We start from the raw sequence: 27,887 nt of genomic DNA on the forward strand, positions 1-27,887 counted from the left end.
TCTTTCTAACCTGAAGATTAGGTTAAGAAGTCATTAGTAGTGAACAAGTGTCTAGTAATTTCATTTATAAGGCATTTGATTAATGACTACACTATAAACATTATTTCCAATGCACACAGCTCTCTTAAAGCCAACTTTTTTTTTGTGAGTTGGCACAGATTTGTCATCGTTTCTGGTTTAATGTTTTGAAAGAGTCATTATACAATTCCTTAGAAGAAAGTTATTTCCCTTTGGTTATAGTAAAATTGTATTTTAATGTGATGTGATTTGATAATAACGTAAAATCGTCAAATACAAGGGCAGGAGAAGGTAGATTTATTAGGTAATTGAATTACTAGAGATGCTATTGCTGTGAGAGAAAACTCAATTACCTGTGGGCTGTGGACAAAGAGCTTCCTATTTCCTGATGGGGATCTAAAATTGATTAGCTTCAGGCTTGTAGAAGTCTTCTGCTATTATTAATAGAATCAAGAATTATAGAAATAGAGGAATTTTAGAAATCATCTAATCTACTATCCTCACTTTAAAAGTAAGGATATTGAGGTGAAAGGTCCCATGTCCAAGGCCACACTGCAGTCAGTGACTGGGGCCAGAACCCAAGACTGTTCCCCTGAACTAGGGACTGTTACTTCGAAATACAGACAATATCTGTTCTTGGTCCATAGAGTATATATTTTGAGGGCAGGGTCTTTCTTAAAAAATGTCTTCTGTATACTATTTAAAAGATTTTCCATAGTTTTCATGGATGCATAAACTATAAAGCCAAATTCTTGGCCTGTTTATAAGTTCTTTGGTTTGACTTTGTTATTGCCAGGGTATCTCAGTGTAGCAAAATAACTCCATTCTTTATAGATCTTTTTCTGATGATTTATGGGAAACTTAAGATAAACCTTTAATTAATTTATTTTTTTTTGTTTACTTTGTTGACTGGATAAAATTCTTTCACGTGGTTCAAAAAAATCTCTGCTGTATTTTAACATTTCTTTGATAATCTCTAAACACTTTTGTGTAACTTAAATATGTGTCAATGTATATGCATATCTGTAGATTTGAGAAAATCTGGGGATTTATTTAATTCATTATTAATTTATTGTAATCAAGTTGGTAAATTATTTTAAGGCATCATCTAATATGTTTTTTTTCCACTGTCTTTTTTTTTCTCAATAGGGATGAATGGGACCTTCAGGATGTATGTAAAACAATCCTTATAGGTGAAAATCTAATTGATTTTTGAAAGTCAAAAAGGATTTTGATTCTATTATGTTCTCTGAAACCTGTCTTGTATTTGAATACCCATATGGTCAAACAGTTCTTGGTTATATCCTACTGAAGCTTTCTTCTTTTTTTTTTTTAGTCTTTTTTTTTCTTCTATTCTCTTATAGTTAGAAATCAGCATGTTTTGACAATTATATATTAAGAATCTAGGAGTTAAGTAACAGAAATTTTTCTTTATCATTAGAAAAATCATTTGCTTGTGAAGTGTGAAAAAAGGGTAATGTTATATTTGTAGTAGAGTTTTGAAGCCAGATCTCAAGGCTATACAGTTAAAGGATAGTGGAGCTGGGAATAAAACCAAGGTCAAATGAAATTCATTCTCACTTAGAGTAGGGGGGGAATAATGTCATTTCCCCAGAGAACATACTCTGTAGCTATTAGAAACATTTAAAAGAATTTTTAATATGGATTATAAAACTGGCATAGATTTAAAAATAATAGCATCCTAATGTCAACTGGGAGTGTAATTCTGCAGTATAGAGGAAAGGATGCAGAAATAGGTCTCAATCTCCATTTGCTTGGCCTCCTGACCTCGAGTAAATAATTTAACTGTTTTCAGTCTCGGGATGATAATACCTGTTTTTCTAAACTTCTAAGGTTATTATGAGGGTCAAATATGATAATACAACAGTGCTGTGTGGATGTGTTAGCATGAAGCCAGAGCATCTGATGCATTCTTGTTTTATCTTGCCAGCAGTGGTGTCATCTCTTTGAAGGTGGACAAAGCAGTGGGGAGAATTGCAATTCTATATCTTGAAATAACTAACAAAGATATCTTGGTCATAAGGTCTTAAAGAAATTCTGGGAAAAGGTGACCATATAAGAGTTTATAATATCAAAGCAAGGCAGCATTGGGTATCATTTTTTTAAAAGTAGATTTTAAGAAGCTTAGAAACAAAGTAGATATTTTAGAAGGGATTGTGACTCATGAGGATGGTACGTAAGAAGAAAATGAAATTCTGATTATTTACTTACGAATGATTTTTTGGTTTCTTTTTGAGACAGGGCCTCTCTCTGTCTCTCACTCAGGCTGGATTGCAGTGGTGCAATCACGGCACACTGTAGCCTCAACCTGCCTGGCTCAAGTGATCCTCTCACCTCAGCCTCCTGAGTAGCTGGGGCCACAGGCATGGACCACCATGCCCGGCTAATTTTTTTGTTTTTGTAGAGACAGGGTCTTGCTATGTTGCCTGGGTTGGTCTGCAACTCCTAGGCTCAAGCAATCCTCCCACCATGGCCTCCCAAAGTTCTGAGATTACACGTGTGAGCCACTGTGCTTGGCCGTGAATTTAAATAGGAGAGAGAGGCGTATGGACAAGGTGATTTATTAAAAATAAAACAAAACAAAACGACAACAACAAAAAACCATGGACTATATTTATATATTCTCTAGCCATAAAGTATGTGAATAATATTAAAAAAATCAAGGTAGGGGCATATACGAAGGAAAAATACATAAGTGGCTTTTAATTAAAATGGAGCTGGTGACTTTCCAGTAGTAGAATTGGCTTTAATTAAACTATGCATTTAACAGAACATACTTCAAAGTTAAAAGAATGTCTACTAGCTACTCCCTCACTCTTGACAGAAAGAATTTGCATGAAGGTTTAGGTATGATAGCGTCAGAGAGGCTAAAACTGAGAATTGGCCAAAGTTTTTGAAAAGGTTAAGGCAAAAACAAAAACAAAAATGGGTTAAAGACAGGAGAAAGAATTTTTTTTGTTGTTTATCTAGAAGTCGGAAGAGAGAAAGCCATTGATTAGGGAAGATGGAAAAGGCTCTTTAAAGCTATTCTTTACCGGAAATGTATTAGCAGAGACCGACTGAACAGTCATCTGGGATAATTGCAGAAGGTGAAAGTTGGGCTTTAAGTATCTTTATTTCACCCATTAATATTTAATACATATAGTATAGCTGACATGCTTACATGGACATCTAGGTGTGTTGTAGCTGTCCTGATTTGAGTTTAAGCTTCATTTTGTGTTGCTCTCACCAAGATTTACCAGCCATATTTTACAGATTTGTAGTGATATCAAGTGCTGAGAACTAGGATAAGAGGAAAATTCGAAGAGAAAAACTACAAGTATATCCGCCTTTATTCTCCGAACCATTTCTCATTATTTAGAGTATGATGAATGAATCAAACAATGATCTTGGGTATAGTTCTTCAGATATCTGTTCTCAAACAGTGTGGGATCTACCAATTAGAATGCTAATTGGGAACTAAAAATAATATTCATAGTAAATCTGCTTTCTGGTTTTATTTTAAGACTTGGCTTTTTAAAGTTTTCTCCATCCTTGTTTGGAAGTACTCATTCTGTGAATTTATATAGAAGTAGCATTTCTGGCCAAGCAGAAAAACCAACTAGTTGGTTCATTTTCCTAGAAAACTACCAGATGCCTTCCTAGAGATAAAGCATAACCGAGTTTATTTAAAATTGAGTTGGTGACTTCCTTGTGTAAAACTGACTTTAAAATATGCATTTAACAAACCATATTTCAAAGTTCTAACTAGCTACTTACTCCCTGACTCACTGAATGAAAAAGTATTCATATAAAGTTTTAGGTGTCAGTTGAATTAACTTATAACCAACTTCCACTGGGAAAAGATATCATTAAGTTGTTTTTTTTTGTTGATACTGTTCCTGAAAAATGTATTTGAGAATTATAAAGGTGGCATAGTTTATGTTAGAATACTACTAATAATAACCTTCAATTCTGTGTGTATGGGGCATGGGAAATATGTATACGTCTATTTAGGAGGATTATTTTTGTGATGATTATTAGAGACCAATCACAGCAGCAAAAAACAAAACAAACAAACAAAGAACCAAACAAAAACAGTTATGCATCCTGAATGAAAGGTAAAAATAATACTGGACATGGTTTCTTGAACTCCTGGCCTCAAGTAATCCTCCCACCTTGGCCTCCCAAAGCACTGGGATTACAGATGTGAGCCACTGGCACCCAACTGGGACATAGTTTCTAAAAGTCACTCCACATGGCTATTGAAAAGTCTTGTCTTAAAAATAGTTGGTTTCTGAAAATCTTCTCATATAATTGACTTCATATTGTTTTGCAACTAAATTGTGCTGGAAGGACCCATAGTCTACCTGAGAGAGGAAGAGCATCAAAGTGAAAAGGCTGCAATGACCAATACAGTCTCCTATATAAGGAAGGTGAAGGAGGCAGGTGATGCAAATTACGGCATTAGAGATGGGGCTGCAGGTATAGATTTGGCAGTCGTCCTATACAGTAAACATCACAGCTTTTTCCAAATTATTTTTTTCAAATGAACGTTTTCTTTAAGAAGAGTTTTAGATTAATAGAAAAAATTACATGGGCAAGTGCTAAAAAAAAAAAACAGAAAAATTACAAAGAGTACCCATATATGCCACACTTGTTTTTGCATTTATTAATATCTTACATTAGTATGGTATGTTTGTTGCAATTAATGAACCACTACTTTTACAATATTATTAATTAAAATCCATATTTTATTCAGATTTTTGTTGTTTTTAGCCTGCTTGCCTTTTTCTATCCAGGATCATATCCAGGATACCACATTACATTTCATCATCATGTCTCTAGGCTCTTCTTAGATGTGACAATTTCTCAGACTTTATTTCTTATGACCTTGACAGTTTTGAGGAGTACTCATTAGGTATTTTATAAAATACCTCTTAATTGAGATTTCTCTGATGTTTTTCTCACGGAGTTATGTGTTTTTGGGAGAAAGATCACAGAGGGAAATTACCATCTTATCACATCATATCAAAGGAGCATACTGTTAGTGACTTAGCACTGTTGATGTTGTCCATCATCACCTGGCTCTGGTTATGGTTGTCAGGCTTTCCCTTTCTATCCTGTATTCTTTGTAAGGAAGTCACTGTGCATAACCCACACTTAAGGAGTGGGGAGTTATGCTCCATCTCCAGAGAGTGTATTGTATTATCTACATAAATTATTTGGAACTCATCTGCGTGGGAGTTTTGTCTATTATTCTCCATTTGTTTATTTATTCAATAATTTATATCAGTATGGACTCATGAATAGTTTATACTTTAGGTTATAATCCAATGCTACTTTATTTATTTATTTGCTCAAACTGTTCCCGTGGGAGCTCTTTCAGTTGGTTCTATGTCCGTTTGACATAGTCTCGTAATTGTGTGTGTGTGCGTGTGTGTGTGTCTATGTGTTTTGAATACTTCCTAATTTTCTGTCACTACAAGATGCTCCTGGATCATCATCTATATATCCTCCCCCAGTTCTATAATTGACTATTTTTCCAAGGAGCCCTGGTTCTTTTGTTTGGAAATGGTGTTAGAAACCAAAATCTAGGCACTAGGTGTACTCATTGTTATTGGATTGTAGCTGCTTTTAGGCTCTCTCAGCTGACAGAGCAAGGGAATGTATTTGCATATACCAACCTGTGTATATACACATATCTACAAATATTTCTGTATGTAATCATCTGTATCTATGTTAAGCTAAATATGAGTTTAGACTGATGTCTCCAATTCTAATTCATCACCACATGGATAATTCTAGCCTCCTCCTCTTGCTTACCTATAACTTCCCATTCTAACAGTCAGAAACTTGGTTGCCATCCATCCACTTAATTGTTCATTTATGTATACATGTATAACAGTATCAGAATTAACTGGTATCCCCAGAGGCAAGAACTTTATCAACTACAGCAGCAGTTCCCAGCCTTTTTGGCACCAGGGGCTGGTTTTGTGGAAGACAATTTTTCTATGGCTGGCTCTGGCAGGGAGTGTTTTGGGATGAAACTGCCCATGTGTCACTTAGTTGACCTAAGGCGCATGCAACCTAGATCCCTTGCATAAGCAGTTCATGATAGGGTTTACACTGTTATGAGAATCTATTGCCACCACTGATCAGACAGGAAGCGGAGCTCAGGTGGTAATGCTGTTGCCCACGGGTCACCTCCTGCTGTGCGGCCCAGTTCCTAACAGGCCATGGATAGGTGTTGGTCTGTGGCGCAAGAGTTGGGGACCCCTGAACTAGAGTACAGTGGTTATGTGTGGTTCCTTTTCCCTTTAGTCTTGCAGACTCCACTCATTTCCAAAGTTACTTAGGTCAACTACCCTCTCCCCTTACCCCTTCAGTGAGGTTGTTTCATACATTTGCAATAGAGTTAGACTGTCTGTTTTGTCACATTCTGCATTCTATTCTGGGATCCTTTGATGTCCTTAATTATTTTTGTTTAAATTGCATGGACTAAGGTTTACTTTTTGTGCTGTAAAGTTTCATAGGTTTTGACAATGCCTTGTGCCATGTATTTGCCAATACATACTAAGATAGTTTGAGCTATTTAATTTTATATTATTATATTGTATTATTTTATGTTATTTACTAGTACAATGCATTGTCAAAACCTATAAAGTAAGGTTTTGAAATAGTCCAAACTATTTTCAATTATTTAATATTTGACTTTTTTTTTTTGTCTTTTGAGACAGGGTCTCACTCTTTCACCCAGGCTGGAGTGCAGTGGCTTGATCACAGTTCACTGCAGCCTTGATTTCCTGAGCTCAAGCAATCCTTCCACCTCAGCCTCCCAAATAACTAGGACCACAGATGCACACCAACACACCGAACTAATTAAACAATTTTTTTGTAGAGATGAGGTCTCATTATATCACCCAGGTTGGTCTCAAACTCCTGGGCTCAAGTGATCCTCCTGCCTTGGCTTCCCAAAGTGCTGGGATTACAGGCATGAGCCACTGTGCCCAGCCTTGACCACTTTTTTTGGACCGGCAATTTTGAGTGGTTCAATCCAATATAAGTTGAAATTTAAGCCAATCTATTATTTACATGCAGTTACATGAAATAGCTAAAACTTTTGAGTAAGTATTGTTATCATAAAGATATCTCATAATCTTAACTACATAGTTATATATATATATTTTTTCTCCTGCCTCAGCCTCCTGAGTAGTTGGGATTATAGGCACGCACTGCCACACCAAGCTAATTTTTGTATTTTTAGTAGAGATGGGATTTCACCATGTCGGCCAGGATGGTCTCCATCTCCTGACCTCATGATCTGCCCACCTCGGCCTCCCAAAGTGCTGGGATTACAGGCGTGAGCCACAGCGCCTGGCCCAATTTTTGTATTTTTAATAGAGCCGGGGTTTTACCATGTTGGCCAGGCTGGTCTGGAGCTCCTGATCTCAAGTGACCCGCCCACCTTGGCCTCCCAAAGTGCTGGGATTACAGGCACGAGCCACCACACCTGGCCCCCACCTTTCCTGTCTGTGATTCCTCCCACTGTCCTTGAGCAGGGAAAGTTGTGAAAAGACAGTCAGGATCTTCTTTGCCACTGGAAAACCGGAAAGCTCTGGTCTTTCCTCAAAAGCTATTTGCTTTATTTTTACTTATTTTATTTTATTTTATTTATTTTTTTGATACAGAATCTCTCTGTGTCTCCCAGGCTGGAGTGCAGTGGCATGATCTCGGCTCACTGCAACCTCCACTTCCCAGGTTGATGCAATTCTCCTGCCTCAGCCTCCTGAGTAGCTGGGATTACAGGTGCCCACCACCATGCCTGGCTAATTTGTTTGTATTGATTGATTAATTTTTATTATGCTTAAAGTTCTAGGGTACATGTGCACAATGTGCAGGTTTGTTACATAGGTATGCATGTGCCATGTTGGTTTGTTGCACCCATCAACTCGTCATTTACATTAGGTATTTCTCCTAATGCTATCCCTCTCCCAGCCCCCGACTCCCCCAGCAGGCCCTGGTGTATGATGTTCCCTGCCCTGTGTCCAAGTGTTCTCGTTGTTCAATTTCCCACCTATGAGTGAGAACATGCAGTGTTTGGTTTTCTGTCCTTGTGATAGTTTTCTGAGAATGATGGTTTCCAGCTTCATCCATTCTGCCCTTGTGATAGTTTTCTGAGAATGATGGTTTCCAGCTTTATCTATGTGCCTGCAAAGGACATGAACTCATCGTTTTATATGGCTGCATAGTATTCCATCGTGTATATGTGCCACATTTTCTTAATCCAGTCTATCATTGATGGACATTTGGGTTGGTTCCAAGTCTTTGCTATTGTGAATAGTGCTGCAATAAATATACGTGTGCATGTGTCTTTATAGTAGTATGATTTATAATCCTTTGGGTATATACCCAGTAATGGGATCACTGGGTGAAATGGCATTTCTAGTTCTAGATCCTTGAGGAATTGCCCACTGTCTTCCACAGTGGTTGAACTAATGTACACTCCCACCAACAGTGTAAAAGTGTTCCTCTTTCTCCACATTCTCTCCAGCATCTGTTGTTTCCTGACTTTTTAATGATTGCCATTCTAACTGGTGTGAGATGGTATCTCATTGTGGTTTTGATTTGCATTTCTCTGATGACTAGTGATGATGAGCATTTATTCATGTGTCTGTTGGCTGCATAAATGTCTTCTTTTGAGAAGTGTCTGTTCATATCCTTTGCCCACTTTTTGATGGGATTTTTTGATTTTTTTCTTGTAAATTTGTTTAAGTTCTTTGTAGATTCTGGATATTAGCCCTTTGTCAGATGGGTAGATTGCAAAATTTTTCTCCCATTTTGTAGGTTGCCTGTTCACTCTGATGGTAGTTTCTTTTGCTGTGCAGAAGCTCTTTAGTTTAATTAGATCCCATTTGTCAATTTTGGCTTTTGTTGCCATTGCTTTTGGTGTTTTAGTCATGAAGTCCTTGCCCATGCCTATGTCCTGAATGGTATTGCCTAGGTTTTCTTCTAGGGTTTTTATGGTTTTAGGTCTAACATTTAAGTCTTTAATCCATCTTGAATTAATTTTTGTATAAGATGTAAGGAAGGGATCCAGTTTCAGCTTTCTACATATGGCTAGCCAGTTTTCCCAGCACCATTTATTAAATAGGGAATCCTTTCCCCATTTCTTGTTTTTGTCAGGTTTGTCAAAGATCAGATGGTTGTAGATGGGTGGTGTTATTTCTGAGGCCTCTGTTCTGTTCCATTGATCTATATCTCTGTTTTGGTACCAGTACCATGCTGTTTTGGTTACCGTAGCCTTGTAGTATAGTTTGAAGTCAGGTAGCGTGATGCCTCCAACTTTGTTCTTTTTGCTTAGGATTGTCTTGGCAATGCGGGCTCCTTTTTGGTTCCATATGAACTTTAAAGTAGTTTTTTCCAATTCTGTGAAGGAAGTCATTGGTAGCTTGATGGGGATGGCATTGAATCTATAAATTACCTTGGGCAGTATGGCCATTTTCACAATATTGATTCTTCCTATCCATGAGCATGGAATGTTCTTCCATTTGTTTGTGTCCTCTTTTATTTCATTGAGCAGTGGTTTGTAGTTCTCCTTGAAGAGGTCCTTCACATTCCTTGTAAGTTGGATTCCTGGGTATTTTATTCTCTTTGAAGCAATTGTGAATGGGAGTTCACTCATGATTTGGCTCTCTGTTTGTCTATTATTGGTGTATAGGAATGCTTGTGATTTTTGCACATCGATTTTGTATATTTTGTATCCTGAGACTTTGCTGAAGTTGCTTATCAGCTTAAGGAGATTTTGGGCTGACACGATGGGGTTTTCTAAATATACAATCATGTCATCTGTAAGCAGGGACAATTTGACTTCCTCTTTTCCTAATTGAATACCCTTTATTTCTTTCTCTTGCCTGATAGCCCTGGCCAGAACTTCCAACACTTACATAGTTATATTTTTATTTAGTTAGTAAATAAACTATGACAAAACACTTGCAATTTTTTTCTGATAAAATAGTCATGTTAAATGGTTATATTCCTTCATCCTCTCCAAATATGTACGCTTTCAAAGAAGAGTAGATACTAATTCGAATATATCCTACCCAGTGTGAGGATTTTAGGCAGAGTTAACAATGAATTAAAAACTTTTAGGCAGTGTGGGGAAATTTTGCTTTCTAAAGGGAAAAATTTGCTCCCTTAATTGTTCTTTACATACTACTGCTTCTCTCATTTCATTTTCTGAAAGATTTAAGTCTTTTGGACCATCTTAAAGTGATCCCAAGCCACATCTTCTACATGAAACAGGGTTATATTTCTTCATTCAACACATATATATATATATTTTTTAGCATCTTCTTCATGTGTAACATTGCGTTAGGGGCAGAATTCCAAATTGTAGATCAGCCACCTTCTGGGTAGCTAAAATGCACTTGGAAGCAGTGGCTTCCAGACTGCTGAATTTCACGAATCAGTTTTAAAAAATGGCAATTAGTGTAGAGTTGCCACCTTTTTATTTTTGTCAAATCAGGTCATAGCAAATGAACACCAAACAAAGTTTTCACTAGGTTGGATTTGTTTTGCTCCTTCCAAATGTCTAATTTAAAATTTATACTATGTACTTTTTTCTAATTAGAATATTTTACATATTTTTCCCTATTCCATTTTTATTTGAAGTGGATTATTCTTAAACTCTTCAGCTATTATCCTCTACTCCACAAATGTCAAGGATAGACCTTTAATGAGTAGAACAGATGTCAGGGATTTGACAGTAGTGAATAATCATGTCTATCTCTTGTCAATCTTTTGATTTTAAGTGAGGGAAATGCTGTGGAGAATTGTTTCTTTTGTTGAAAACCTAGATTAGTACATGCTATGCCATAGTGAATGCTTAATGAATACATGCCAAATAAATAAAAAAAAGAATCTTCCCAAATTCTTATTCATTGACATGAAGATATAAAATCTAGCATGTTGATAACATTGAACTTTCTTAAATAATTCTATAACAAATTCTCTTCTTTTTGTATGGATTTTTCATACAATCTGTGTTAACATTTGCTTGTGAAATCAATTAGACCAACTAGAAAAATACAGTTAAATGTTTAAATTACTTTTGATCAAATGGCTTTTGTTTGATAAATGCTATCAAAAAGGACTAATCAAGTTTCTAGGTCTGCGGTTCATTTTTTTTTTTGACTAATACTTGTATTTGTACAGAACCTTTTCTTTGGAGTTTATTACTCTTGTCTATAACATTTTCAGGATTTAATTAGGAGAGGGATTTTCCTATTCAGGATATGTATAGGTCAGATTATGATGCTGTGGCATGTAGACCATACCTTAGAATTGTGTTGTATTTGGCAAGAACTTCATTTACTTTTAACAATCTGGCATTTTCTACATTTTATGGATGGAAATAATAAAAATGGGATCTTTGCCCTAATTGGCCAGTGGTAAAATTTAACCTTGGTTTTCATGGTCTTAGACTTTTTCTTAATAAGAAATTTGTTTAAAATTAGTACATTTCTTATTACCATTTTCATTTTGAACCTAATTTCACAAGTAAGCATTTTTACTGAGCATCCAGTATGTCCCTTTGCTGACCTAGTGATTCTACAAGTCCTATACCATTTGTAAGAATCAACAAGACTGATACAATAAAATTTATTTTAAATCTTCAGGATACAGATACAAGTGATTATATTTATGAAGATTTAGAGATTTATAAAATTTAATCGAGAGATTATTTCATTTTTAAAACCTATTTTTTCTTCTTATTAAAGAAAATACATGTTCATTAAAGGATATTTTAAAAACAGATAAAACTAAAAGAAAATAAAAATCACCTATAATCCAGTTACTTGGAAATTAGCCACTTTTAACATTCGGTACAGATTTATCTTATGCTATATTGTATTATACTGTTATATGATTTAAAAGTGTGTGTGTATATACATATATATATATAGAGAGAGAGAGAGAAATCATATTGTACATTTGGGCTTGTTAGCTTTCTTTTTCACTTAATAGTAGAGAGTGAATTTTTTTTTTCATATTTACTATTCTGTTACCTCATTCTTAATGATTACTTAGTCTACAGTGGGTGATAAATCCTCTCTTTTTGGATGTTTATATTATTTCTGATAACAATTTCATTTTAACTGTTGTTAGTTCTACAGGAGGTTATGCATTTGACTTTTTACAAGAAAGGGGTGATGAGTAGTATTTGAAACTAACGTGAGTTTGTAGGGCCGTAGTGTCCTCCGGATGTTGGGAGCTATTGCTCTGGGGCATTGTTCCTCTTAGCCCCTCCGGACGCTTGCCTAGCTGGGCTGAGGCAGGCTGAGGCCTGTTTGTTGTTAGCCCAGCTGCAAGAGCAGTGGCCTTAGTAACGTCAGCAGGAACAGAGCAGGCTTCATCTCTACCCTTTGTCTGGATTTGGTGCTGGTGTGTTTTCCCCGCTGCTGCCATGTGATGGCTCGTAAGCAGCACTACACACTGGATCTGTAACTCCTTTTGAAAGCTCTATTGTGAGATGCTGCTGCGTTTCAGTGGAGGGGAGATTTTTGCTAGTGTGCCACTTTTGGTTTCTTTCAAATGTGGATGTGCCTTCCTCTAAAGAATCCTAGGTAAGGAAAGCACTAGTTTTGAAGTGACTAAAAATGAATTAAATTATCCTTTCCTCCATGCTTCCTATGGTGGAACGGTAGTAAAATAGGAAAGTAAGTACTCAGATTTCCTTGCCTACTTTGCATTATAGTTAATCACCACGGGAGAGGTGGGAAATGAGAGAGTGAGAGTGGGAATCAGGGAAGATTTCCTAAATGAAATAATATTTGAATGAGGTGATAAAGAATAATAATGGGTGGCAGGAAACACAGAAATGTGGATAATGGTAGTTACTAAGGGTTTGTTTATGTACTCATCCATAAAACATTAGTTGAGGGCCTATGCTATACCAGGAGTTATACTAGACTTTGGATACCCAAGAATTAATTAGACATGGTTCCTGCTTTTTACGGGTTGACAGTCTGGTTGGGAAGATGGAAAATAGACAAAACATATATAGTGGGTTCTATAGTAAAGGTTTCTACAAATAACATGGAAGTATCATAGTCCAGACTAGGCAGGTTAAGAAAAGTCTTTTCCTAGGGGTTGACACCTGAGATGAGACTTGAAGGACAAATGGGCAAGGGAGAAGGTACACCAGATAGAAGAAACTGCATGTGCAAAGGCAAGGATGCAAGAAGGAAGCTGGAATATCCAGGCACTGCAAGGAGTTCAGTGTACAGCAAAAGAGAGACTGCACAGTGGGGGAGGATTGGCAAGAAGTAATTTACGAGGGCTTAAGACAGTAAGGGACGTGGAGAAAATCAAGGACAACCCCCAGATTTTTACTTGGTTGGTAGTGCTATTCGCACTGTATGTTTTCATTGCAGAAAATAAACAAGGAGGGACAGATTCAAAGAGGACAATAGCGTATTCAAATTAGGACACGATGCGTTTGGGGTACTTGTGATATATCGATATAACAAGTAGAAATCTGGGGCTCAGAAGAGAGATTGGGGCTGCAGATTCACGGGTGGTAGCCATTAGCAGGGGGTGGATGAAACCACCGAGGGGGAGAACATGCAGAGTGAAAAGATGGCTGGAAAAAACCCCAAGAAGGAGCGGACAACCAAAGATACTGAGAAGGAGGCAAGGAGTTGGAGGAAAAGCACAGAAGACAGGCGAGGAGACAGAGGTCAGCAGTATCAAGTTTTTCTGAAAGAAGAAATCAGATAAATTTTCACCACTTTTAGGAATGAGGCCATTGGTGATCTTGGTGAGGGCGGCTTCCAGGGTGAAGTAGGAAACTGACCTGAATTTCAGCAGGGCAGCAGTCAGGGTGGCGTGATTTAAGAATTTTCCTTTAAGAAGCTTGTCTGTGGAGGAAGGAGTGAGGAATGATAGCAGATCTAGGACTGTATGAAACAGGATGGAGAGAGATGATGGTTTACTTGTCTTTTTCCCCAAGGTTAAAAAGCTGGAACATTTTTATACTAATGCCGATAAAATATGCATATTATTGATACTTTGAAATGTATGAGGCCGGGCGCGGTGGCTCCGCCTATAATCCTAGCATTTAGGGAGGCCGAGGCGGGCGGATCACGAGGTCAGGAGATCGAGACCATCCTGGCCAACACGGTGAAACCCAGTCTCTACTAAAAAAAAAATAGAAAAAATTAGCCGGGCGTGGTGGCGGGCGCCTGTAGTCCCAGCTGCTCGGGAGGCTGAGGCAGGAGAATGGCGTGAACCCGGGAGGTGGAGCTTGCAGTGAGCCGAGAGCGCGCCACTGCACTCCAGCATGGGCGACAGAGCGAGACTCTGTCTCAAAAAAAAAAAAAAAAAAAGAAAGAAATCTATGAAGTTCAGCACCTAGGAAAGATGACAGTCTTGTAGTCATACCCCACCTGCCGGAATTGAGAAATCCAAAAATTTATTGTTTTGTAATTGTGACAGAAAAAAAAATCATCTATGATGTCTTATACAGCATTTTCGCACTCTTGATTTTTCCATATAATCCCGAAAGAAGACAGCACGGAGAGACAAGAGGTGAATGAAATAGGCCCTGAGCAGCTGAGGTGGTGGAGCAAAGTTCCTCTAGATTACTCACCAGTGAACAATTCAGGCCCTTGCACAGAGCCCACTCAGCTCCACACAACTCTCACCAGTCAGCTTGTCTGACATCTACACCCATTACAGAGGAGGAGCAAGGAGGAGCCGCGTGGGTGAGGGCAGGCACACTGATGCCCGGGAGAAGTGGTAGTCAATATGCTGATAACGAAGGAGGGACAGACATGTCAGAAAATGCCTCCAAAAGGAATAATAATGCCAATAAAAGCTCACAACTTGTGCAGGGTTACCAGACCCCTCTGTAATAGCAACTGAAGGCATCACTATGTTTTAACATAGTAGCAATAATTGGTATTTCAAATGAATGCTCCATCAAGAAATGTTTAAATACTCGGTATACTATGTTTTAAGAACGTGAACAAGAAAATGCCAACTGCATTTTATAGTTTGACATTAAAATAAAATTTTGGCAATTAAAGTGCTAGCTGGGACCTTTCCTAAAGGGTCTCACTCTGTTACTATTTGTAGGGCATCCAAGGCTTAGTGCTTCTTACATAAATTGATGAGAGATAGAGCTGTGATGTGTAGAAGGTACAGAAAACCTGGTTATAGATGAAAAGAATGCCCAGGAAGCTATATTAGTTCAAGTTTACATTTCCATAGCACATTTAAAAAAATAATAATTTTCAATCTGTATTGCCCTGTGAAATCATAAAAAGGTTAATAAATAGAATTTTTCAAGAATTAATAACCCCATTCTATTCTGAAACCTGGAAAACACATTAACTTTATTAGCTTTTAAGTAACAAATATTCCTCTTTTAATTCTAAACTATAGTTTGCCCTTTTAATCCATTTAATTGAAATAGTAACCTATAGTAGAAACTATTAAAAATCAATTATGAAAGGTCCATTAAATTTCTTTAACCAGTTACAAGAAATAAGTATTTTAATTGTTCTTTGAGAACTGCCAATGAACAAAATCAGACTTTTGTAAAATGAAAGTAAAAATGCTCATGATTGAATTGTGGTAGCCCTGTTGATATTCAGGAAGGATAAGCCTTGAAACCTCCTGAGATCCAAAGTTTCTGATGTGAGAAATGTTTTTGTCTTTTATAATCAAGAGTCTGAAATCTAGACAATGGCTTAAAATCAAAGTAGTGACCTGGAATGTTTGTTGTTGACTCTACAGAAATGTGTTGAGGAGTGATAATCTTTGCCAAAAGGAGGGAGTATTTTTTTTAATTGATCAAAGGCTTAAATCTTTTTTTTTTTAAACTAACATTTGGTTCAGTCAGTGTTACCTACCGTCTTTTATGTTGAAATTCAGAAGCAACATACTTTAGTGATTGACTTATCTGTTGGTGATGACATGTTATGACATGTTGTTAGGTGTTTATCAAGGATTGGAAATTCCAATTTGCCACGTAAAAGAATGGTTACTGGTTAAAAACTACTTGTATTCTTCTGTGCTATGAGTGAAAAATTTCTATAGCATCTATGTTAAAAAATGCTTGTTAAAGGGTTGAACTCTCATGTCTGTAATCCCAGCACTTTGGGAGGCTCAGGCGGGAAGATCGCTTTAGTCCATGAGTTCAAGACCAGCCTGGGCAGCATAGTGGGACCTCGTCTCTACAGAAAATAAACAAAGTATCCAGGCATGGTGGTGGACTGCCAAATAGTCCCAGCTATTTGGGAGGATGGGGTGGGAGGATTGCTTGAGCCCAGGAGGTCAACGCTGAGGTAAGCTGAGATCGTGCCACTATACTTAAGCCTGGGTGACAGAGCGAGACCCTGTCTCAAAAAATATATATAAATAAATAAATAAAAATAAAGGGTTTAATTAGGGGTGAAAATGAGGTAGAAGCATAAGGAAAAATTCTAATTGAGAGAAATAAGATAAAAGTGTCATTCTTAAAAAATGTTGTATGTATATAGTTTGCTGTCATAGACTAGACAGTGGCAAATACTGTAACTTTATCATAGATCTTTCCTTTGTACTTGGATACCATTTTGAATTTTATTTTTCTGTATGTATTTTTTTCCATTTAAATTTATGCTCCAAGATGGAAGTTAACAGTAATACCACCTTACTTTCTTTTTCCACGTTACAATTTTTAGAGACATTTCCCAAGGGCTATCTTATTTATTAATATGTGATTCAAGTACACTGGGGAAGGTAAGTATACTATTGTTATTTTACAAAGGAAAGTACAGGTAAAAGAGAGTTCAGTAACTTGTTTAAGGTCCTGTAGCTAGTGTCAAGACTAAACTCTTTCTTACTTGTACTTCATTGTCTTTTAATCATAGCACATTATTAATGTGGAAATTGATAAAGACATTTTTGTTGGAAGTTTAATTGAACTTTGAACTTGAAAATTTAACTTGTAGACATTTTACTCCTGAAAAAGGGGGCTTAAGTAACCTAAACTGGAAAGACATTAAGGGCTGGAAATTTTACATAGACCTTGAACATTTTAAAATTTTGCTTAAAAACTGCTTAAAATGTTCTATTATAGCCAAGATAATCACAGAGCTAGAATTCATTCTCTACTATACATGGGCACTACATTCATTGTAACCAACTAGTGTTCAGTAGAAGTATAATTGGGAAAGAAGGAAGACTTAAGTTACTTATATATGTAACAAGGCAGCTTATTAAGAATTTACTAGGCTGGGCGCAGTGGCTCACAGCTGTAATCTCAGCACTTTGGGAGGCTGTGGTGGGTGGATCTCTTGAGCCCAGGAGTTTAAGACCATCCTGGGCAACATGGTGAAACCCCGTCTCCTCAAAAAATAGAAAAAAAAAAAAAGCCAGCGTGGTGTCACGCACCTGTAGTCCCAGCTACTCGGGAGGCTGAGGTGGATCACCTGAGCCCAGGAGATAGAGGTTGCAGTGAGCTGAGATTGTGCCACTGCATTCCAGCCTGTGCGGCAGAGTAAGACCCTGTCTCAAAAGAAAAAATAAAAATTACCATAACTTGATGGGAAAATGCAACTTTATTGTTTGTTCTACAGCATTAAGAGAAGCATACAATCCATCCTTGGGGATGGGAGACTGTCCACTGCATTCCTAAATAATAAATCCTCCTTATTCCCAAGGAAGGTAAATAGGCTCTTGGATGGTCCTAGAATTCATGGCCCAGGCTTTTAGGATCATCCTGCACCTAAAGCCCTTGGGAGAACAACCAAACCCTAATGCTGTTGAAAGATATTAGGAAAGACATGAGGGTTTTCTTTAGAAGACTGGCCAGTTTCTCTCAGGAAAGAAGGACATTTCCCAGAGACAGGAAGTCAAAGATGGCCTGTTTTTTTTGCGGGTAGTTGAAGCTGGTGCTTTACTGAAGCAGTGTCTTGGAGGTCCTTATGGTAGGTATGGCTATGTGGGTGTTGGGGATGACTGAGCACTGAGACCATGACTTTGATATCCATGGTGAAGGTCCTTATAGATAACTTGGTACGGAGGCTGAGGGAGGGTGGCATGGAGGGTAAGCAGTGAATGCTGCCAGTGGAAAGAAGTTACCTTCAACAGAACCACGGGGTTTAGACAATGAATTTCTCCAGGGGGATTGCGCTGGACAAGTGACTACAGGCCTTGCCTAATTTTCCTTCATTGCATCATCTTTGAGGTCCTTACACCACTCAAGGGGTGAGAGAAGAGCTCTTAGGCATATCTGATATTTAGATTTCTTACTGATGTGGCTGACTCTTAGCTTTGAAGTCTGAACTGATTTGAATTTGAAAAATGAAAAGATGTGACATTTTTTGTTTCTTGAGTCTTGTGGAGCAGTTCATAGCTTTATGTGCGTACATTCATTCATATACACATGCATATGTTACTGTATACTGCATACTTCTCTTTAATACCCCTGTGGTCTTTACATATCCATCCTGAAATGTCGTCATCCTCATCTGACAACCTAGAAAATGCTAACTCATCATTCAAAATTCATGTCAAATATCAGTCTTCCTTTCTGAGTATGCAGGGAGTAAGGAGTCTAAAAATAATTCTTGGCTTCTTAATTTGTGATATAGAGATATTGCCTGCCTTGCTTAAATCACAGCTGGTTATGAGAATTGAATGAAATGACTTACCTTAAAGAGACAGAAAGTAGCTAAGGGTGGGAGAGTCCAAGTAGCAAAAGCATGGTGTGGAGAAATTTGATATGCATGGGGAGAGGGCCTGAGGGAGACCTGTCTCAAGGTAGCTGAGGATTTTTCTTTTTCGGTATATGTGGTGGGGAGGAAAATAGCTAAAAAATATTTACTTCATGTAAGACTAGATTTAGGGGAGAATATTAAAACTCAGGAAGAGGACTTTTAACATAATGAGGTGGTTAAAAGGAGACAACTTCTCAATAGACAAGGGAGGTATTTTGAATAGATTTTTGGAAATGGTACACAAAATTAGTTTTATTGAAGAGTGAAAGAGCTGGACAGATGGGAAAATCATCATGGAGACTAGTAGATTGTGAGGGTGAAAACCATGAGTAGGCTTAAAAGTATTGTCTCAAGACAAAAAAAAAATGGGCTATTTTGGAAGTAAAGAGTTTTTAATTCCAGGAGGTGGCCCTCTACTGATGTAAGCAGACTGTGATTTAGTATGTGAAGGATGGATGTACCAGACTCATTTCCCAGAGGGAAGAGGCAGTTACTAGATTGTTTAGCCTCTTCACATGCTTGTAATATTGTTGCTTTCAAAGGTTTGCTGAAGAAATGAATGAAATGGCTTGTCAAGTATTAGTAAGATATTTCTAGCTGTAGTTCAATTGCATTTTTTTTTTTTTTTTTTGAGATAGGGTCTCCTTCTGTCACCCAGGCTGGAGTGCAGTGGTGTGAACATGGCTCATTGCGGCCTCGACTTCCTGGGCTCAAGCGATTCTCCCATCTCAGCCTCCCGTATAGTTGGGACCAAAGGCACGTGCCACCACACCTGGCTAAGTTTTAAATTTTTTGTATAGATGGAGTCTTACCATCTTTCCCAGGCTAGTCTTGAACTCCTGGACCCAAGGGATCCTCCTGTCTCAGCCTCTCAAACTCCTGAGATTATAGGTGTGAGCCACCACGCCCTACCAACAAAACTTTTTTTTTTTTGCCCGACCCCCAGCAACAAAACTTTTGATTCCTTCCTTATAATAGTTTCTTTTTAAATAACTTGGACAAGAAATGTTTGCACAGAATCTCACTGATAATGTACTTTAACTTGAAGAGTATGAAATAATCTTGAGTCTACTATTTTTGTTTTTTAATGAAAATGCATTAATCATTTACATTTTTTAAGATACCCAATTTATTTTGGAAGCTATATGTTATTTTCATAAAAAATTCTTAACTTACAGAATGTCCACTGCTTAGGATTTCCTGTTTTTTTTGTATTTTAAATATATCTCTAACAAATAATCATCACGAAGGAAAAGAGGTTACATTTATTGCAGTCCTGCTATGTGCTTTATGCATGTTATATAGTCCTTTCAAAAACTTTTCAAGTAAGTGATACTATTTTTATTTTATAGATGTGGATCATGAGATTTAGAGAGACGATGTAAAATATAGCCAAGATAATACAGTCTCAGTCAGAGGTGGAGCTGAGATTTGAACCCAAGTCTTTTTGGAAACAAAATTTGATTCTCACCACATTTCATTCCAGGGAAAAAATAATTCCATCCTGGCTCTGTTTTTATTTATAGCCAGAAATGGACCACCTCTAACTGTCTCCACTGCTGCCATTCTGGTCTAGGCTTCCCTGATGTTTTGCCTCTATTACTGTAACATCTCCTAATTGTTTTCCCTGCTTCTCTCTTTGATCCCCACAGTTGATTTTTAATGGCTAATGCAATCCTTTAAAAACGTAAGTCAGGCCGGGCGCAGTGGCTCATGCTTGTAATCCCAGCACTCTGGGAGGCTGAGGCGGGCAGATCACCTGAGGTTGGGAGTTCAAGATCAGCCTGACCAACATGGAGAAACCCCGTCTCTACTAAAAATACAAAATTAGCCGGGCAAGGTGGTGCATGCCTGTAATCCCAGCTACTGGGGAGGCTGAGGCAGGAGAATCACTTGAACCTGGGAGGCGGAGGTTGCGGTGAGCCAAGATTGCGCCATTGCACCCCAGCCTGGGCAGCAAGAGTGAGACTCCGTCACAGAAAAAAAAAAAAAAGAAGTAAGTCAGGTCATGTTACTCCTCTGCTCAAAATTCTTCCATCACTCCCCATTTCACATGGAGAAAATACAGAGTTCCTACAATGGCTGAGGTGATCTGGCGCCCCTTTCTTTCTCTCTGACCTAATATCTGACTTCTTCCCCTTGCTCATTCCTCTCTAGCATGCCAGGCACATGTCTGCATGGCTAATTCACTTACCCCTTCAAGTCGTTACTAAACTCTCACTTTCACAATGAGGCTTACTTTGATCCACTATTTAAAACTGTAACTCCAGTGGGACTTAAGATGCAAAAATTTGTGATTTTCAGGATTTTGATTATATGCTTTAAATATATAAAATTCTCTGCTATGTTCAATGATAACTACTTTTTCATGTTGACATACAGAATTGGAATATATCTAAAACACCAAAAACATATACTTATAAGTAGAATAGTAAAGATACACATAATGTTTTCTAATCGTTGACTGTATCTCATTGTAAGAAATACATTTTATTGTGACCTCGTGTATCTATATAAAATGGAAATAAAAGTTTTATAAAATACTTAGCATTTCTGTGTGTTACACTCATATAGTTTCTGTTGAATTCCATTCCTTTCTTTTCCATTATGAAAATATGTTGGTCAAGTTCTACAAAATTTATTTCACAACTCATTTATTGGTTACAACCTATAGCTTAAAAATATTGGGCTATTCTTCAAATCCCATTAATGCAGGAGATAAGATATGAATTTTTTGCATTAACTTCTTGAAAACATACACTGCAGAGGGTGATGATTGAAAAGTCACTTATACTTTTGAGTTATTGGCATGTAGCTATTACTGCATTTTGCATATTCATGCTCAGATTAACAAAAGTAATATAGATTAGGTTGCATAAATATGTAATTAAATAATTATAAGTGCTTATATTTTGTCAATATTATTTGCTAATGGTAGAACTCTTATATTAGAAGTGGTTTTTTCCATCCAGTGGATCAGGAGATTTCTATCTTTTTTCCCCCCTAATTTCCAAATTTCAGTATTTTAATTTTTGATGGATTGGTGCTTATTTTCCTATCTTTATTGATATTAGATACTGACAGTGAAGAATAATATTCAATAATAAAAATTTGTGCTTCATTTTAAAGTATTTTAAATGAATAATAATAATAATTAACATATAACCCTACATAGCTTATTGTACATTTGTTTATTAGTATCTTAATTTCTTCGCACTGAAAACATTAACAGATACCTCTATAATATTCTCTAATATGGTGTATTCTCTAAATTTGAAATTTCCTAATGTAATCTTTCTTAAAAGTAGGAGATATATATTCCAAGCTTATCTTTTACCATTGTCCTCTTACATGTAATGCTATAGCCATATTAAATGTGGCCTGTCCCTCCCTCCTTCCCTACTTCCCTTCCTTCCATCTTTCCTTCCTCCTGCCTTTCTGCCTCCTTCCTTTTCTTCCTCCCTCCCTTTTTTCCTTCCTTTTAACTAATATTTTTGAACACCTGCTATGTGCCATGTGTAGTAGTGGGAAGAAAATAAATGACATAGTCTTTGCTGTCTCTGAACTTAAACTGGATACTAACAGTCCCAGTTATGAAAGTGAAAACAGAAAGCTTTAAGATTATTTAGAAAGTCAGAGGTGGTGGCTGGGCATTGTGGCTCACGCCTGTAATGTCAGCACTTTGGGAGGCCGAGCTGGGTGGATCACTTGAGGTCAGGAGTTCAAGGCCAGCCTGGCCAACATAGCGTCTCTACTAAAAATACAAAAATTAGCCAGGTGTGGTGCTGCATGCCTGTAATCCCAGCTACTTGGGAGGCTGAGGTGGGAGAATTGCTTGAGTCTGGGAGGCAGAGGTTTCAGTGAGCCGCGCCGAGATTGTGCCACTGCACTCCAGCCTGGGCAACAGAGTGAGACTCTGTCTTAAAAAAAAAAAAAAAAAAGTCAGAGGTGGAATCAGATTCTGTGAAGAATTAGAAGAGGCATCAGAAGACACTCTTTAGTCTTCGTATTTTAAAGATGTAGAAACTGAGTCTCTTATAGATTAAATGATGTGGTGAGGTTACAGCTGAAACCCAAGCTGGTTTCTTGACTAGTGCTCTTTCCATACCACCTCTTCTCTCTTGACTATCACATTGCCTGCCCAGATCCCATGTTGTCATATATTTTTGTATGTAGTTTGTGCTGTCAAAGACCTCTTTTCAAAATGCACACACTCAACCATAGACTGTTACCGTTATTGGTTTTGTTACTTGAAATTATAATTGGAACAATTAGAGATGCGTCAGTGGAAAGGCAATGAAAGAAGGCCATTAAGTGCTAATAAATGCCTCTCCTCATGGGAACGGAGATCTTTTCTTCTCTATGTATTTGAGCTCTTTTCACTGGTGCTTTTAAGTGGCTAGAAATAACACTTGCCACACGCTTGTGGAATACTCTGGATGCCAGGGGGTTCATTTTATTCTGTATTTGAATTGAGCACACTGCGGTTGGAATGTGTGTTGATTCTTTTGTTGATTTAAGCATTCATTCCATGTTTTGCATTAACCTTTTCTCATGGAAGACAGAATAGTGAGAGCTCTTAGAGAATGAAGTCTTTAGGTAGCTGATGACTTTCCAAGAAACAGATGAAAAGGTTAAAGTTGTAAGTGTTTATGTTGATATATTTTCCTTTTCATAACACCCTAAAATCTAGATACAATAGTCTTCCCTTATCTGAAGTTTTGCACTCTGCTGTTTCAGTTACCCATGGTCAATTGCGGTCTGAAAAGACTCAATGGAAAATTCCAGAAATACACAATTTATGTTTTAAATTGCATGTCATTCTGAGTAGTTAGTTAAATCTCTTACCATTCTGCTTTGTCCCACATGGAATGTAAATTATCTCTTTGTCTAGCATATCCACATGGTATACACTATCTGCCTGTTAGTATTATAGAGTCAGGTACTATCTGTGGTTTCAGGCATCCACTGGGGGTCTTGGGACATATCCCCTGCAGGTAAGGGGGAGCTACTGAACAGTGTGACAAATTGGATGTAGCCCTCCCTAAAGCTACATGCTTACCTGTGGCTAGCAAGAGATAATCACTACTTGTTGATATGGTGATATATTAGCTTCAGAAACGAATTTAGGTAAATAATGAATGAATTCCAGAATAACTTACCAATACTAAAAATGATGACAATGATAGTAATGATGATGATAAGGATAATAGCAGCTAATATATTTGACTACTTACTATGAGCCTGTAAGTCTGTGCCTTATAGAAATGAGCAAGGTTGTCCTGTCCTAAGAGAGGCTACATAGGAGAGGATTTGACTTGGGCTCCTGGTACTTTTGGAAAAAACAGGAGGGGCATCTAAATATGCCGGCATATCAGGAAATGCTTCCCACAGGAGGCTGCATCAACATGTCTTTAAGAGTGAGTTCATTCCTCAATAAAGAAAGAGGCATTAGACAAAGGCTTCTGTGGTTAAGGAGTCAACACTGAAGTGTGAAATTAGTGTAGAATCCCTTGGGAGCCAGCTGTTCTGGGAATAAAAAGTTTGCGTGGGGGAATCATGGATGTGGCTTCTAGAGAGTGAGAGAGAAGCTGGATCCAGGAATCCACTTAAATCCTTCCTGGTTAATTGGAAAATCAGATTCCATTCTTTTTAAATAAACAGGATGTGACCATGGTAGTGCTCCATTCTGTTTTAGTGGAGAAAGCAACCTACACTTTTTTGGCTTCCAATTAAATACCTCACTTTACCCCAACATCTTTTTTTTTTTTTTTTTTTTTTTTGATAAAGAGTTTCACTCTTGTCACCCAGGCTGGAGTGCAGTGGTGCAATCTCGGCTCACTGCAACCTCCACCTCCCGGGTTCAAGTGATTCTCCTGCCTCAGCCTCCTGAATAGCTGGGATATTACAAGTGCGTGACACCACGCCCGGCTAATTTTTGTATTTTTAGTATAGACGGGGTTTCGCCATTTTGGCCAAGCTGGTCTCGAACTCCCAACCTCAGGTGATCCGCCCGCCTCGGCCTCCCGAAGTGCTGGGATTACAGGTGTGAGCCACTGTGCCTGGCCTCTAGCATCTTAAAATAGTGAAAACAAAAGAGTACACTATTGGCTGGAGAAGCTCACTTCTACCCTATCCACGCTCTTCTTTTCCAGCCTCCTGCCAAGGAGCTGGTAATGTATATTCAGGACCAAGGACAGTAATTGGGCCCCATTTCTTCATCTGAAGCCTTAGCAGGGGAGGGGTTGACGTGAGCTGTCTAGACCAGAACTGCCCTGGTCAGCGGGTAAGTGTTCTCTTGCTGTTGCTTCTTCTCACTGGCTGGTTTGTCTTCCACAGGTGGAAGACAAACTTTTCTAGTCACTGTCGTGTCAAAGAAAAGTCTGAGATTCATGTATGGGCTTCGTGGAGAGGGGCAAGGGAGGCCTTTGAGCCTCTTTGGTACCAGGCCTTAGGGCTACCTCTTACCTAGGCCAAATGAGGATTTCATGTGGTCCAGCCCATGTTTCCAGGATTGGAAAGGGAATACATTGAAGTTTGCAGCAAAACCCAGCTCAGTTTGTCCTTTCCACATGCATTTCTTTTAGAAACTCTGCAGGAAGGGGTGGCTAACAGAACTGAATGTTTAGCATCCTGAGTTTTATTTTTTGTTGATGTATAATACATATTCTCAGTTGGGGTGATATTGCCCCCAACAGGGCAAAAACTGGTTCTTGGGGGACAAAAAGAGTCTTACTCTTTTTATGTTTAAAGCGCAGGTGTATGTAGAGCACATATACTGGTATATAGTATATCTATGATATTAAACTTAATAGGGGAACATTTAATGGGGAAAAATATCAAATAAGTTTCATTAGGGGAACCATAATGAAAAGAAGGGTGAGAAACACTGGCTTAAATCATTGTCTGTCTGTCTGTCTCTCTCTTTTTCTTTGTCTCCTTCCTAGGTAGTACAAGGCTGGTTCCAGTGACCTATAATGTCATCACTATCCTACTCTTTGTTCTTTTCTGATCTTCCATCTGCACAATTACCTTGTAGTATTAAGGTGGTTGTTGCAGCTCCACTATCATATATAGCTGACAGGGAGACAAAAGAAGAGGAAGGGTAAAAGTTACACATTAACGAAATCAGAACCTTTTAAAGGAACTCTTCTGATGTCACTCAAAACCTCTAATTACATCTTACTGGGTAGAAGTTAGTCATGTGGACACCCCATTTGCAAGGGAGGCTGGGAAATGCAGATTGATTTGTCTATTAAAGTTGGGCACATTGCCATTCCCAGCAAAATTGGGATTCTGTTAATAAGAAAGGGAAAATAGATATTAGGTAGGCAACCAGTGATCTTTTTACTAGTGCTTTTTGCCATTCGTTTTCCTGGCAGCCAACTTGGGTAAAATATAATCTGTGATTTGGAAAAAGTGAAAGCTAAGTGCCTTTATTTTATGCCAGGACTCATTCATCTGGTGCTTTAAATTCTTGAACAGACTGACTTAGTGCATAAGCAAATAAAATGGATTAAATATTAAGGCATTAAGTTCTTCAGCATGTTTCCTGGTGGGGAGAACACTTAGTATTTGTAAAGTGAGAACTGACTTCTTTGTTCAGTTTATAGATCCCTGACTCAGAAACTTTTGCATTCTAAATGTTTCAGTGGGAACCATTAATTATTGATTATTTAGATTTCATGAAAATATGTTGTTTAGAAATTTTGAATTTTGTGAATAAAAGCAAAATATTGGGATTCTTAAAGATGTCAACAAAAAATAAGTAAAAGCATTGTATTTCCTGCAATTGAATTTGTAGATATGTTTTTCAGATAAAATTATGATGGTATTGAGTACTTCATATTATAGAGTAGCTGACAGCATCAAAATATGATTCTTTGTAAATCTGTAAGTACTAATATTCTTAATATATGCCAATAATTTAGAGAAAAAAAGTAAACTTCAGTAGAAAATTTCCAATTAAATCTGTAGATTTTGGTAAAATTACTTCCTCTAGCGATTAAAATTGCATTGTAATGGTTGGCAAAGTTCCCGGATTTGGGCATGAAAGTACAGAGCTATTTTAATAGCACCATTGTGTTCAGGGTGTGGAACTGGATTCTTGACCTCAGTGCTTCTTGGAGCAGGGGGTGGGCAGTATTTGTGTGATTTGTCTGTCTTTCTCTTCCTATCTCCTTTCTTTTGCCTGTTTCCCTTTCCTTGTTTCTTTTTTTGTTGGATCAGTATATTGAAATATTGTGAGATAGTACTCCTATAGGAATTATTTTGGTGCACAGATTTTTTTTTTAGACAGAGTTTCACTCTGTCACCCAGGCTGAAGTGCAGTGGCATGAACATGGCTCACTGCAGCCTCGACCTCCTGGGTTCAAGCAATCCTCCTGCCTCAGGCTCCCGAGTAGCTGGGACTACAGGCTCAAGCCACCATGCCCAGCTAATTTTTACATTTTTTGTAGAGAAGGGAGTCTTGTCATGTTGCTCAGGCTGGTCTGGAACTCCTAGGCTCAAGTGATCCTCCTGCCTTGGCCTCCCAAAGTATTAAAATTACAGATGTAAGCCACTGTGCATGGCCAGAAAATTGTATTAAATACTTTGAAAATTAAGTTTTAAAAGAGATTTCTCTGTTTTTTGGTTTTTGTTTTTGTTTTGTTTTTTTTGAGATGGAGTTTTGCTCTTGTCGCCCAGGCTGGAGTGCAATGATGCGATCGCGGCTCACCGCAACCTCCGCCTCCTGGGTTCAAGGGATTCTCCTATCTCAGCCTCCCGAGTAGCTGGGATTACAGGCATGCACCACCACGCCTGGCTAATTTTGTATTTTTGGTAGAGATGGGGTTTCTCCATGTTGATCAGGCTTGTCTTGAACTCCCAACCTCAGGTGATCTGCCGGCCTCGGCCTCCCAAAGTGCTGGGATTACAGGCGTGAGCCACCACAGCTGGCTGAGATTTCTCTGTTTTTAAGGAAAAAAATTTTAAAAATATATTGGTTCTGGATTTTTTTTTAAATTTTATTTTCTTCCAATTCTATTCCATGTCATTAGACAGAGTCAATAATATTGGCCCACCTAGTATTCCGTATTTTGTAATTTGGTG

The 27,887-nt window shown here is 37.9% G+C and overlaps 1 protein-coding gene across 26 annotated transcripts in view, besides 1 other annotated feature; it reads left to right on the plus strand.

Annotated features, from left to right (window-relative positions):
• Positions 1-27,887, plus strand: part of DNM3 (dynamin 3) — a 576,969-nt gene that overhangs the window by 45,223 nt on the left and 503,859 nt on the right. For 2 of the 26 annotated variants that reach the window (XM_017000980.2, XM_017000986.2), the window contains exon 1: positions 12,546-12,647. The exons of the other annotated variants lie outside the window; for them this stretch is intronic. In XM_017000980.2, the coding sequence (XP_016856469.1) occupies positions 12,616-12,647 (32 nt within the window). In that variant the 5' untranslated portion in view covers positions 12,546-12,615. Of the gene's footprint in view, positions 1-12,545; positions 12,648-27,887 lie in introns of those variants that run through there. 26 annotated transcript variants of the gene reach the window in all.
• Positions 24,896-25,096: a silencer, noted in NCBI's record as "peak455 fragment used in MPRA reporter construct". NCBI's record gives its function as "represses an SCP1 promoter by STARR-seq MPRAs in K562 erythroleukemia cells {active_cell/tissue: K562}" and the evidence as "EXISTENCE:reporter gene assay evidence [ECO:0000049][PMID:32103011]".

The sequence above is a fragment of the Homo sapiens genome, chromosome 1 (assembly GCF_000001405.40).
Source record: "Homo sapiens chromosome 1, GRCh38.p14 Primary Assembly".
In the NCBI taxonomy this organism is placed as follows: Eukaryota; Metazoa; Chordata; class Mammalia; order Primates; family Hominidae; genus Homo; species Homo sapiens.